Raw genomic sequence first — 15,137 nt, forward strand, 5'->3', positions numbered from 1 at the left:
TAGTAGTAAATTGTTTATGTTATAGTTACTAGCTGTGTGACCTTGGATATGTTACCCAATTTGAATTGCACTGGTTTAAACGAGTTAATGAACACTATTCACATTACCAGTTTATTCTCAAGAAATGATGGAAAGACTAGGAGAATTTTGCACATATTTGCAGGATGAATTTAGGACAGTCTTAAGAATGATAACAATACTAATTTAAATAATAGCTATCCATGAGTATCAACTACCAGGCATTATTCTAAGTATTTTACACATACTGACTCATTTAATCCCCATAAAGGAAACTCCATGAGGTAGGTTATGGTTATCATTCCCCTTTTACAGATGAGGAAACTGAGGCACAGAGAGGTTCCATGGCTTTCCCAGGTGATATTATATAGTTAGTAAGTACTAGAGCTGGGCTTAGATCCTAAATAGTGTAGACTGGCTTCAGAGTTCAGTCTTAACCATTTTAATAACTACCTACCTAAATAATACTACTAATAACATAGCAAAAACCAGTTAGATAGCATTTACTGAGCCAATCACTATTCTAAATGCTTTATGTATGTTAATTCATTTAATTCAACAACTATTTGTGGAGGTACTATTATCTCTATTTTCAGATGAGAAAACGAAAACACAGAAAGTTACATTAATTCTTCCACGGTTATGTCTTTCATACCCATTGGACAAAATTCCAACCATAGTTAATAAATCACAAACTTCAAATGAGTCTTTAATTGTGCCAACAAATATACTACATTTTCTTGGTCCATTACTATTCTTCTAGACAACTCTGTCATACCTTCTCCTCAGACAATCAAGACCTCCTTTCTCTTGCATTCTCAGTGATAATTTTTGTTAAATAGAGGTAATTTGAAGAGAACCACGAATCTCAAAATTTTATGTACAGAATGAGGTTGTGGTTGTGGTTCAGTTGAGATCCTCAGATACCCACCTCCTACACCATTTGTTAAGACTTTATTTTTCCTATTGCATTATTCAAAACTCAGTTGACTCTATAAGATCTAGGACAACTTCTAGCTTCCCTTTCTGCTCAATGATTTTTTTTAATCCTTACGCCAATACCACATTATCTTCATTACTGAGGCTTTATAAGTAGTTATTGTTATCAGATAGCGTAAGATTTCCAAGTCAATTTTTTTTCAAGATCATTTTGGTGATTCTAGATTCTTTGTGTTTTCATATACGTTTTAGAATCAGCTTGTCAATTTCTTACCAAAAGACTACTGGAATTTTGAGTGAAATCACCGTGAATCTGTCAATCAATTTGGGAGGAAAACTTATATCCTAACTATACTTAATCTTCTAATCTGTGAACACAATATATTTCTCTATTTATGTCACTAGTTTCTTTCAGCAGTGTCTGTGGTTTTAGTGTATTGCTCTTATATCTTAATATTACATTTATTTTTAGATATTTGGTATTTTTGAAGCTTCTATAGAATGGTATTTTAAAATTTTTATTTTCTAATTGTTGCTAGTTTATAGAAATGTAATTGATTTTTATACATTGAACTCATCTATTGAGATTTTGCTAAATTCAATTAGTTCTATCAGGTTTTTTTTTTGTAGATTCTTTAGGACTTTCTACGTACATATTCATGTCATCTGTGAATAACAATAGTTTTACTCTTTCTTTCTATTTTTGTTATGAATTAAGTGTTTTTTCCTCCAGCTTCCTGAGTGTGAGAAGTTGTAATGGCAATAATAATGATGGCTTCTTGCTTTCAGCGTAGTTCTGGTGATGGCCTCAACAATGGTAATTTCACTAATGGAAACATCATTTTAGGAGACCAGACCTAGAACCTGCTCCTCCAGTCTTTCTGATACACTTAATTTCCTTTATTACATTTCTTCCTGCTTAAACCTGCACTGAACTGATTCAGTATTTGGTACAGAAAGTGTGACATGGGCCAAAAACTTTTACAAATGAGAATCTCAGACTGGTTATTGCAAAAGAACTGCAATATTTTGTTAATTCATGCTAGTAGAAACTTAGAAAAATATTATTGGAAATAGATTCAGAGCAGGAATGAAAGAATATAACTTTAAATTGGCTCAAGTTTAATAATATGGATACACTTATCAGAGATTCTGGATTTAATGTGCTAGCTCCAGCAACTGTGAGTGGTAAAAAACATTTTGCTAAATTGAGTGAGGCTGACAGAAACCTGGACAATATGGTGGTTCATACTGAGTAAATTTAGAATGCCAAGAATTTCTTGTTAAAAAGTAGAGCAAGAAATCCGAAGACTTGGGGATATAAAAATGTTAAGAGGAGATTTATATCCACTTTTTTTTCTTTTGAGACGGAGTCTCGCTCTGTCGCCCAGGCTGGAGTGCAGTGGCGCTATGTCCGCTCACTGCAAGCTCCGCCCCCCGGGTGCATGCCATTCTCCTGCCTCAGCCTCCCGAGTAGTTGGGACTACAGGTGCCCGCCACCACGCCCGGCTAATTTTTTTGTATTTTTAGTACAGACGGTGTTTCACCGTGTTAGCCAGGATGGTCTTGATCTCCTGACCTCGTGATCCGCCCGCCTCGGCCTCCCAAAGTGCTGGGATTACAGGCATGAGCCACCGCACCCGGCCCACTTAATTCTTTAACCAGACATTGGGGAAATATATTGGAAAGGCAACCCCAGAATTCTTTTAAAAAACCTTATAGTGGCTGTTTTGTGTCACATGGAATGAAGATAGGACTATACTTGATTTGTTTTTTCTTTTTTCTTTTTTTTTTTTTTTTGAGATGAAGTCTCACTCTGTTGCCTAGGCTAGAGTGCAGTGACACCATCTCAGCTCACTGCAACCTCTGCCACCCAGGTTCAAGCGATTCTCCTGCCTCAGCCTTCCGAGTAGCTGGGATTATAGGCACCTGCCACCGCGCCCAGCTAATTTTTGTAGTTTTAGTAGAGACAGAGTTTCACCATCTTGGCCAGGCTGGTCTTGGACTCCTGACCTCGTGATCCACCTGCATCGGCCTCCCAAAGTGCTGAAATTACAGGCGTGAGCCACCACGCCCGGCCTACTTGATTTCTTTAGAGATGACAGTATCCCCGAAGAAGCCAATTTACAGCATTTTACTATATAAGAGAAAACAGTACCAGAGTGATCATAAGGATGTATGATTAAGAAATCCTTGACAATAGTTAATTGCCAAGGTGTCCCTAAGACTAATCATGATGTTCCTGAGACTGAAGTGGATAAGCTATTGGATAAGCTTTGGATAGCTTACTGAAGCTACCAGTAAGCTATTGGTCTGTAAAACCAAAAATTATTTTTAGTCTTCACAAATAGACGTCTACCTTGAATAACCACATGAAGATTCACATCCCCTTATTAAATTACGAGACCTTAGCCAGTTTACATACCCAGAACTTATTGAGTGAAGGGGAGGCCAGGTATCCTTGAGGAAAAACCCTGTCACTCAGCCACAAATATGGACTAAATTTCCTTACCTTCCTAAATTTCCTTTACCTTCCTTAAGGGGATGAGAGGTTGTTTACCCAGATGACTACAATGGAGAAAGGGAGGTACCCATACTTTTCAGGATTCATGGCAATGGCTTTGATGTGATTCTGATCGTTGGGGACCTGAATAACTCTGTGTTCCACCAATAGGGTGGAGGTTTAGAGGGGTCAGATAATAAGTGAAGTTTTAGCTAAATCAGTCTTCTGGTGTGCTGAATGGCTTTGCAAATTCTCCCTGTAGCCATTCCCTTAATTCATGAATGTATACTTTGAAGGACTTACTCAGCAAATGGCAGAATCCTCATACTGCCTCCCTGATGCTTGCAGCATGGGCAATAAGGAATGTTATAGTAGAGAGGGCCAAGTGAAATATGATGGAATGGCCTATTCATTACCAAAATAGTAAACCAAAGCATTACCAACCTCCTGGACAAATTGTGGGTTTTGTGCCATGATCAAAACTTGAAAATGGCAGAAAAGGTTATTCCTGTCATAGCCACATTCAACTCACCTAGTTGGTCTGTGGAGAAGATTAATGGGCCTTAGTGTCAAGTGGTGACAATTGTAGCTGCTACTCCTTACATCCTCTCTTTATTAGAACAAATTATTACAGCCTGATGCTCCTATTATGCCATTCTTAATCTGGAAAATGCTTTTTTCTTCATCCCAATTAGCAGAGAAAACCAAAAGTAGCAAATAGGAATAGCAGTAGACCTTCACTGTTTTGCCTAAGGGCTGTGTCAATTCTGGCTCCTTGTCGTAATCTAGTTTATAGGCAACTTGACCATATCATGATCCCCTTGGACCTGATAAACAGGAAATACCAAATAATCTAGATACCTTAGGTAAGACATATGTTTCTTAGGGGGTAGGAGATAAGCTGCAAGAAAATTTAGGAGTCTATCAATTCAGAGAAATTTCAGGGAGCTCCATGGTCTGCGACATGTTGAGGTATCCCCTTGCCCCAGCTACTATTGAGAATGAAACAAAGCACTTTGTGGACCTTTTTTGGAATTTGTAGAGAGATTTACTGCATTAGGATGTGCTGCTCTATTTTTTATTTAAACCAACTGAATCAGAAGCCTGCCAACTTTGAGTGGGACTTAAACAAGAGAAGGCTTGTAAGGTGATCCCAGAGGGATTGCAAGCAATGCTGCCACTTGTGGGGTTATTGGTTTTGGTTTTGGTTTTGCTTTGAGACAGGGTCTCATTCTGTTGCCCAGGCTGGAATGCAGTGCAGTGTTCACAGCTCACTGCAGCCTTGACCTCCCAGACTCAATCCATCCTCCCACCTTAGCCTCCTGAGTAGCTGAGACTACAGACACATGCCACCACACCCAGGTAATTTTTGTATTTTTTTGTAGAGTTGGGGTTTCTCCATGTTGCCCAGGCTGGTCTCCAACTCCTGGACTCAAGCAATCGGCCCTCCTCAGCCTCCCAAAGTGTTGGGATTATAGGCATGAGCCACTGCACCCAGCTCACTAGTGTTTTAATGTCTGTCCAGATTATCCAGTGATGCTTGATGTATAGTAGATTGGAATGCTGAATGGAGTCTGTACAAGCCCTGGTAGGAGAATCACGGCTCTAAGCCCTTGGGTTTGGGAGCAAAGGCATACCATCTTCAGCAAATAATTGTTGTTATATTGTTGCTGGATACTTTTATTGTTTCCAAATTTTACCTATTATAAACAGCACACACAAACAAGAGAGGAATATATACTTATGTGTAGAATTGCTGGAAAATGTCTATCTATAACTTAAATAATGCCAAAATGTATTCCAAAATGATTATACAAATTTACGCTCCCGCTAGGAATCCAAGACATTTCCTGTTACTCTACATCCTCAATAATACATACTGTCTTCACACTTTAAAATGTTTTCCACTCTGGTGGATGCTCAATGCTATTTAACTGCAGTTTGAATTTTTTAATTTCCCTGGTTACCCTTATATTTTATGGACCCCATTTTGATAACCATTTTTTGGGGGGGTTACCTGTTTTAAGTATTTCTATTGGGTTGTCTGCCATTTATTTCTGGTTAGTAGGAGTTTTTAATATGCTCTGGAAGATAGTCCTTTGATGTTTATGTGTGTTGCAAATATCTTCCTCTACTTTGTGGCTTGTCTGTGGTTTACCTTGCTGAATACATCAAGTATTCCATATTCTTAATTTTTTCCACATTCTCTATGTCTCGGACTGAGAATGGTATGTTAGAATCTCCTTTTATTACTGTGTTGCTATTTATGCTTACACCTCCTGTGGTTTCTGCTTTATGTGTTTCTATATGTTATTTGGCACAAAGTTGTTCTTATGTGAATATTATTACTTTTGCATTATGAAGTGTCTTTCTTCGGCTCATTTAATGCCTTTTTGGCCTGAATTCTTCCTTACTGCATGTCAAAATACTCTGCTTTCTTTTTGTTTGCATTTATTTGATATATTCCCATTCTCGACTCCCCTCCTTTTTATCTGCCTTTCTGAGTCACTTTGTTTTAGATGTATCTCTTATGTACAGCCTAGAGCTGGGTTTTGCTTTGTAAGCTAGTCTGAAAGTCTTTTTTATTTAGTTAGATGAGTCATGTCCATTTATATAATTGATATGACTGATATGTTTAGTCTCAGATTTGTCATTTTATTTTATATTTACTGTGTGTCTTCTACTATTTATTTGGGTTTTTTTCGTCTTGGTATTTAGAAAGATTTTTATTTTTGTTCTAATATTTATCTTTATAGTAATACACTTAAGCTAGTATTTTCGGCCCCTCTTTTTTCCTTTTTTAAAAATTTGTCCTTCTGCTTTTGATTTGCTACCTCTAAAATTATGCTCTGACTCCTCCTTGTTATATTTGAGGCAATCAAAAAACTTGTTCTACTTTCACTTTTTTCCCTCCCTTTTCTTGTCGTTTATTTTCAGTTGTGTTATTTCTACTTTGTCAAACAATATAAATTTTTTGTACTGTTCACGTAGTCTTATACCCTCACTTTTGTTTTAGTCTCAGAGTTATAATTAAATATGTTCAACACTTAACTGCCAATTATTTTGCAAAAGATTTTTCAATGATTTCTTGGTTAGATGAAGCTCAGCCTATACTAGGAAAAGATCCTGAGCACAATATTCCCTTAGTTCTTGCACATTTAAAACTCTCTGTAGAGCAAGGATGGGCAGACTAAGGTCTGCACCATGCTTAGTAAGGCCTGTGAGCTAGGAATGTGTTTTATGTTTTTAAAGAGTTGAAAAAAAGAGGAATATATGACAGAAACCAGATGTGGCCCAGACATATTTATTTACTCTCTGGCCCTTTACAGAAAAACTGTGCTAATTCCTGCTCTAGAGCCTTCATACTTTACTACTTGAAGGATAGCTTGACTGGCTATAAAATCCTTGGCTTATTTCCCTTGAGTTTCTTGTAAACGTTGCACTACTGATGTCTTGCTTTATATGTTACTATTTAGAAGTGTGATGCCAACTTGATTTTCTTTGTAAACTGACTTGAGTATTTTTGCCTGGAAGGTCAGAGAATTCCTTTAATGTGTAATAGTTTTAGCAGGTTATATCTCAGTTGAGAATTGTAGGTCAGATTTTTCTAGGTACACAGTGGGCCCTTTCAATATGAAAATCAGAAATCAGAAATTGTTTTATTTCAAGGATGTTTTCTAAAATTATAATTTTAAATAGATCTGTTTCATTGTTTTGTTTTGTTTTTCTTTCAGGGGCAACAATTAGTCTTATCTTAGATCTTCTTTACCTTTATATCTGCCACTTTCATTCTGATCCATTTTACTCTTTTCATTATGTTTCACTTTCTTGGCTCCTTTTATTTCTATTCTATGTTTTTCTTACTATATTTTTGGTCATATATGTTCCATCTTGGAACACCTGCTAATTTATTCATTTCTGAGAGAATTTCTTTTTCTTTATTTCTTGAGTTTGGCCAATTTTCATTTCACACCTTCCTATTTTCCATTTTTATTACAAATTTTAAAAATTTCTGTTTTATAGTGTTCATTAATATCTGCAAATGCTTAGTTAATTATATTTAATCTATGTTGGGAGCATTGGTAAGTTTTTCTCTGCTTCATGGCGTGTTTGTTTTGATTTTACTGCTCAGTTTTGAGGTTTTCTTCATAAGTAACTGCATGAGTGCTAGATTATTTTATAGATGTTCATGTTTATTTGCGTTGGATTTTTCCATTATCAGTAATAACAGGTGTTCTTACAGAGGAACAGGGAGTGTTGTTTTGGTGGCTTACTGTGTTTCTTAAATCAGGAGCACCCTCTTCTGCTGCTGTAGTGAAATGCAGGTTTTTGAGTTTTTTTTGTTTGTTTGTTTTTTTGTTGTTGTTGTTTTATTTTCATTTTTCTTGAGATGGAGTCTCGCTCTCTTGCCCAGGCCTGACTGCAATGGCACGATCTCAGCTCCCTGCAACCTCCATCTCCCAGGTTCAAGCAATTCTCCTGCCTCCCGAGTAGCTGGGATTACAGGCGTGCGACACCACACCCGACTAAGTTTTGTATTTTTAGTAGAGACGGGGTTTCACCATGTTGGCCGGGCTGGTCTTGAACTCCTGACCTCAGGTGATCCACCCGCCTTGGCCTCCCAAGAAATGCAGTTATTTATGTTTCTTTTTTTAAGTAAATGGGGCCTTTTGGGGAAATGGGTATGTTTTCTTTGGATTCTTTTCCACTAGCTTAGTTCAGTGGAGCTCTTGCCTTGGCCATTTTCTTCTTTTTTCTTACCAAACTGGCTCCCAAGGACATCTCTCCCTTTCAAAGCATTTTCTTCTCTCCCAGAAGCTATGTCTTACCATGATTACTGCCTCTGACTCCCTGTGTTTTTCAAATCCTTTCTTTTGAATTCCTCATAGAATCTACCAGGTTTTTTTTCTTTGCTCTATTTTTCCACTTCAGGTAGAGCCCTCTCTTTCCAGGCTAACTCGTGATTGGTGTTTGCTATTATTTATGTACAGTGCTGACACATAGTCCATATCTGACTCTCTGCTCAGATGTGGGCTCCTGACCACACTCTGATCTAGTAGTCTTTATTTCCTCACTTACATGTAAAGGATTCTGTGCCCAAATTATGTTGTAGGCATAAATTTGGGTGGTTTTACTTGGCTTCTTTTTATGGTAGTTTGGAAGATTTGTGGAGCAATTCTAATTTAGGTGGCTGCCATTATCCTGTGGGAACTCAACTTTATAACATAACAAAATAAATAAGCTAGAAAAATAATACAGTACTCTGCCCTTTATCTGTCGTTCCAAGACCCCCTGTGGATGCCTGAAAACACAGATAGAACTCAACCCTATATATACTATATATACTGTGTTTTTTCCTGTACATATATACCTATGACAAAGTTTAATTTATAAAGTAGGCACAGTAAACAATAACAAAAACAATAATAATAAAATAGAACAATTATAACAATATACTATAATAAAAGTTATGTGAATGTGGCCTCTCTCTCTCTAAAAGTATCTTATTGTACTGTACCGTGGGTAACTGAAAGCACAGAAAGTGAAGCTACAGATAACGGGGACTAACTGTAAGACAAACAAAATAGAAGTGAGAGCTTGATGAAGATAAAAGTGAAAACTAATGAGGTACCGAAGCATAATTGAAAACAATTCAAGATCGATAAAGTGATAGTGGGAGAAACATCAACATGGTAAGGCTTGAGGTAATTCATCAAAAAGGGTAGATATTAGTCTGTTCTCACACTGCTATAAAAAATACCTGAGACTGGGTAATTTATAAAGAAAAGAGGTTTAATTGGCTCACGGTTCTGCAGGCTGTACAGGAAGCATGGCATCATCTGCTTCTGGGGAGGCCTCAGGGAGCTTTCAATCACGGTGGAAGGCAAAGGGGGAGCAAGGCTGGAGCAGGAGGAAGGAGTGGGGGAGATGCCACACACTTTTTAAATGATCAGATCTCACAAGAACAAACTCACTATCAGGGGAACAGTATCAATGGGGAAATCTGCCCCCATGATACAATCACCTCCCACCAGGCCCCACTTCCAACACTTAGGGATTACAATTCAACATGATATTTGGATGGGGACACAGATCCAAATCATATCAGGTAGAAACACAAAAATTAGGAAAGATGAAGGCAACAGAAACACAAACACAGAGGAGATAAGATATATTAGAATAAAATGTAAAATTATCTGCTAAAATTTTGACATGTGACAGAACTACCAATTTTCTAAGCAAATATAATCAAAATTGACTCAAGATGAAAAAAATATTAATAGGCATCTTAGAAAATATTTAAAGTTATCATAACAGGTAACTGAGACCAGAAATCTTGGAAGGAAATCATGTTTAGAAAGAAAAATAACAGATTTTTTTTAAATTTTAAGTTTGAAGTACTTGTTTATAATGTCCAAGTAATAGAATACAGAGACCAGAACATGGGAGAGAATCTGCAGCTATAAATACAAAATTTGGAGTTCATCACCACTAAGTAAAAAGAATGCATTTCTGGTTTGCATTATCAAATACCTACGGGCAAGTGAAAAAAGAATGTGACAGTGTAGCCGATCTTACTCATTTTCACGTTTGCTTACAGACAGCTGAAAAAGAGTACATCACCCTACCAGATCACCCTTCACTTCCTTGTCAACCTGTTCTTTCTTCAGGAATAACTGATATATCTTTATTACAAACTGAAAGTAAGTATAGTGCAATCGTAAGTACAGATGATTCTGTGAGGTAAAGTAAATAATGTTAATGGGGAGTTACTGTTTAATGGGTATAGAGTTTCAGTTTGAGAAGATAAATAAGTTCTGGAGATGGGTGGTGGTGATGGTTTCACAACAGTGTGAATGTTGTGCCACTGAACTGTACCATTTAAAAATATTTTAAATGGTACAGTTTGTTATGTAATATGTTCTACAACAATAAAAAAGTTAAATTATAGGAATTTTATTTTTATTTTATTTTTTTTAGACAGAGTCTGACTCTGTTGTCCAGGCTAGAGTGCAGTGGCGTGATCTCAGCTCACTGCAACCTCCGCCTCTCGGGTTCAAGCGATTCTCCAGCCTCAGCCTCCCGAGTAGCTGGGATTACAGGCGTGCACCACCACACCTGGCTAATTTTTGCATTTTTAGTAGAGACGGGATTTCACCATGTTGGCCAGGGTGGTCTCAAACTCCTGGCCTCAAGTGATCCACCCATCTCGGCCTCCCAAAGTGCTGGGATTACAGGTGTGAGCCACAGCACCTGGCCCAGGGATTTTATATTTATTACTACATATGTTTAGTCACCAACATTATTTCATTTTAAAATATATATTCTGGCCAAGCATGGTGGCTCATGCCTGTAATCCCACACTTTGGGAGGCTGAGGTGGGTGGATCACAAGGTCAGGAGTTCGAGACCAGCCTGGCCAACATGGTGAAACCCCATCTCTACTAAAAATACAAAAAAATACAAAAAAATTAGGCGTGGTGGCAGCTGCCTATAGTCCTAGCTACTTAGAAGGCTGAGGCAGGAGAATCGCTTGAACCCAGGAGACAGAGGTTGGAGTGAGCCAGTATTGCACCACTACACTCCAGCCTGAGCAACAGAGTGAGACTCCATCTCAAAAAAATATATATATATTTATATATCATATATATATCATATATATATAATCCTAAAATATACATTTTCTATGTACGATTTAAGTACAATAATTTTGAATCCCAGATAAATTTACCAAAAGAGTTAAACCAAAGAATATCAGCATAACTGCTTGAGCTTTACCTAGTTTCTACACATATATGAAATGCAGAAAAAACACACTATTTTATAAATCTCCTTATATATCACTCTTGGAAACTGAAATGACTCCTTTGCATTTTCCACATGGTAAATGCTATACTGTAGCAAGAAAAACAGTTTGGGATAAAATTTATTCTTGCTGCTTTAGACATTTTTAAGTTTTACACTCCATATTTTAGGATATGAGCCATCTTTCAGCTTTGAGACATTGATGAATATGAGTTATAATCTCTTTAGGAGAGAAGATTATCAAACAAATGAAACAAGTAAAGGAAGAAAGAAGGTATCTGGAAAGAAATAGAGAAGAACTAGTAAAAACGGTTGAAAAGCTATTTGAACAAAGCAAATTAAAACGATATCATGGTAAAGTTTATTACATACCTTTTATCACTATAAAGAAAACTTAAGTTTTACAGAATTGATCCTTTTAGAATAAATAATAAAGTTATAATTAATATTTACTGTTTTACTATTTTAGTTTAAGTGGTACATGATTAAGTTCAATATAGAAAACATGAAATTATTATGCAACTCTACTTTATAGAATAAATGCTTTACATAGGGTTTAAAATTAAAACTCAAATATTTTCATAACTGAAACTCATTAACTTGTTTATTAATTCTTCTATTCATTTATCAAATGCCTATTGAATCTGGCCACTATTCTAGGGGCTTAGGAGACACTATTAAGACAGACACAATCTTGTCCCTGCCCACATAGATCTTACAGTCCAGTGGGGAAATGATAAGCAAGTTAAGCATCAATGATACATCCTTGCCAGCGCAGTGGTTCATGCCTGTAATCCCAGAACTTTGGGAGGCCGAGGCAGGCGGATCATTTGAGGTCAGGAGTTCGAGACCAGCCTGGCCAACATGGCGAAACTCCGTCTCTACTAAAAATACAAAAATTAGCCTAGCCAGGTGTGGTGGTGGGCACCTGTAGCCCCAGTGACTGCAGAGGCTAAGGCAGGAGAATGGCTTGAACCCAGAGGCGGAAGTTGCAGTGAGCTGAGATTGTGCCACTGCACTCCAGCATGGGTGACAAAGCAAGACTCTGCCTCAAAAAAAAAAAAAAAAAAAAAAACTTGATGAAAACTATGATAAAGGAATTACAAAGTTCTATGGATAGGAATACAAAGGGAGAACGCCTAAATTAGATGGAAGAGATCAAGAGAGGCTTCCAGGAAAAGTGTTGGATATGCTAGGATCTGAAGTACACTCTTGGTTCTAGGTCTTCGGGCATGCTTTTCCCTCTGCCATCTACTTCTCCTCTTACCTTGAGGTACCCTCTTCCCAGTTTACCTGCCTATTTCCTATTAGTCAGTCAAGATCACCTTATATATCACTTACTGTAGAAGCCTACTTTGAGTCCCTTGGTCTCTTCTGTACTTAATTTTTTGATATGTGTGTGTGTGTGCCTTGCTTTTAAAAGTGAATGAATGAGGGAAGTTAAGTAAGTTTTCTTGCAGTACAATTAGAAACAGTGTTGTTAGGACTGGTGGACTGATGAGGCAGGATGAAGACAGTACATGATGGTGGCTTGAGAGTTGCTAAATTATTTGAGAGGCCTCCGTTTTGGGTTGTGTTGAGGATTATAAGGATAAAAGGTATCTATGGAATTAAGTGGTTTTATGATTCTCAATTTACAGCAAAATTGTTTCAGCACTAGAACTGATTGAAGGTTATAGACAATGTCAGGAGATACTTCTCAAGATTCTGCTTTACAATGTGTTATCCTGAAAGTGGTGGCAATGAGTCAGCCTTGTTGTAATGTTAAAAAAGCAATTTTATCAGACAGATTTGAACAATGGACTGAAAATCACAGGACCAGGATTGTAACACCAGATCTATCTTTTACTTAGACAAGTTACTTCCCCTCTTTGTGCCTCACCCTTTCTGTTTATGAAATGGGAATGATCCATCACTTCCTATTTCAACAGGAATATTTCAAGATAAAAGGTATGTATTGGCCATAAAATATTTATTGAGCCTACTATGTGCCGGGCACTGTTTTAAATGCTGGGGATACAGCAGTGAACAAGACAGACATGGCCATGCCCATAAGGAGCTTGCTTCCCTATGGGAAGAGACAGACAATAAACAAGTAAGACAATATCAGCTTTGATCAGAGCTGAGAATTCAATTAAAAAGAGCATAGTAAAGAGTGATGAGGCAGGGAAGAGATGCTTTAGGTAGAATTTTCAGAGAAAGTATCTCTGAGAAGATTAAGATTTGATTAATAGGGAGGCAGGCACAAAGGGAACACTAAATATCAAGGTCAAGAAATAAGAATGACATTGTGGCATTAAGGGCCTGAAATACGACCAGTGCTGCTGAAACACTACGTAAGAAGGAATGCAGAGGGGGATAAAATCAGAAAGGTCAGCAAGGAATAAATGGGCCAAATCAAAGATTTTGGATTTTATTCTAAGCAAGGTAGGAAGCCACTAGAGGATTTTGAGCTAGGGATTTATATGATTTTAAAAAATATTTTAGAAAGATCAGAATGACTGCTGTATAGAATACCCTGTACAGGGGCAAGAATGAAAGCAGACAGACCAGTTAGAAAGAGAATGCAGACTTCTTGGTAAAAGATGACATTGACTAAGGATGTAGCATTGAAGAAGGTGGAATATGCTAGATGCTAGAAGTATTTTGGCAGTAATACCGGTAGAAGTTGCTAAGGGATTGGATAATAGAGCATGAGATAAATATCCAAAATCTTGAGCTAAAGTTCCATGTAGCTATATAATTTTAATTAAATCACCTTATAAAGTAGAATTTTTAAATTTGAGATTTTTGTTTCTATGATAATCTAAAAGAAAGAAACTAAACAAATTCTGGTATACTGGCATATAGTTTGTGTTCCTATTAAGTTTGTATTTAGAATCTCATTGGTATCAATGCAATTTGTTAAACTGGTAGTGTTTAATTTCTAATGATTAATTTTGGATCAGTTTTCCATAATCATGGGAAAAAGTAACATACATATATTACTTTTATAGTTATATATGTTATATGTATATATGTTATAGTTTTATATATGTTATAGATTACTATATATAACAAGTATATATATTGCTTTTATAATATATATTACTATTCAATGTATTACTTTTAGATATATTACTTTTATAGTAATGTATATTACTATAAAATATATATATATTACTATATTTCTATACAAGTTCTCTTATAATCCAAAAAACATTTCTTCCTCAGGTCTAATGACCTCAGTATATAAAAAAAGGAGAAGAGGAGAGAAAGAGGAAAATGGTTTAAATTGACATTAGCTCTAGGATCCTTTCCAGGATGAAAAGTTGAATCCTTTAATACTCAAACGAAGGCCTTTCCTTTTTTTTTTTTTTTTTTTTTTTTTTTTTTTATAGCCTACAATGGTTGGAAGAAAAAATACTTGGAAACAAAGAAAGTCACAGCATCAATGGAGGAGGTTTTAACAAAACTTCGAGAAGATTTGGAACTCTACTATAAAAAACTGCTCATGCAACTTGAAGCCAGGGAGATCAAGATGAGACCAAAGAATCTGGCAAACATCACAGACTCCAAGGTATTACTAAATGTATCCCCCTTCCGTTAGAGAAGTTCTGTTCAAAACACATGCTTTATAAGTGCTAGTAGTATCACAAGATGCATTAGGCTAACTTTGACTTAAACTTGCTTAAAACAATAAAAAAACTCATGACCTTATGTAATAGGAGGAGCATTGCTGAGGAGATACAGTCAGCAGCTTAATGTTGCCTTTAAGGGGTCTGATATTTTCTTCCTATTATTTTCAGTGTTAATTTCATTGTAAGACTGCTTCTAATAGTAGCAATAGAGTGGTCAAGGGCAAGTAGGGCTTTATATCCCCAAACAGGGAG

At 36.7% G+C, this 15,137-nt stretch overlaps 1 protein-coding gene across 15 annotated transcripts in view; it reads left to right on the top strand.

The window, feature by feature from the left end:
• The window catches only part of SPATA1 (spermatogenesis associated 1), a 60,994-nt gene that overhangs the window by 27,755 nt on the left and 18,102 nt on the right, over positions 1–15,137 (top strand). For 3 of the 15 annotated variants that reach the window (NM_001397487.1, NM_001310156.2, XM_024446289.2), the window contains exons 9-11: positions 10,062–10,164; positions 11,494–11,619; positions 14,646–14,824. In NM_001397487.1, the coding sequence (NP_001384416.1) occupies positions 10,062–10,164; positions 11,494–11,619; positions 14,646–14,824 (408 nt within the window). Of the gene's footprint in view, positions 1–1,209; positions 2,347–8,960; positions 10,246–11,493; positions 11,620–14,645; positions 14,825–15,137 lie in introns of those variants that run through there. The other 12 variants (XM_011542519.3, XM_011542515.3, XR_007057962.1 and 9 more) reach the window with 11 other exon arrangements.

The sequence above is a fragment of the Homo sapiens genome, chromosome 1 (genome assembly GCF_000001405.40).
Source record: "Homo sapiens chromosome 1, GRCh38.p14 Primary Assembly".
Taxonomy (NCBI): Eukaryota; Metazoa; Chordata; class Mammalia; order Primates; family Hominidae; genus Homo; species Homo sapiens.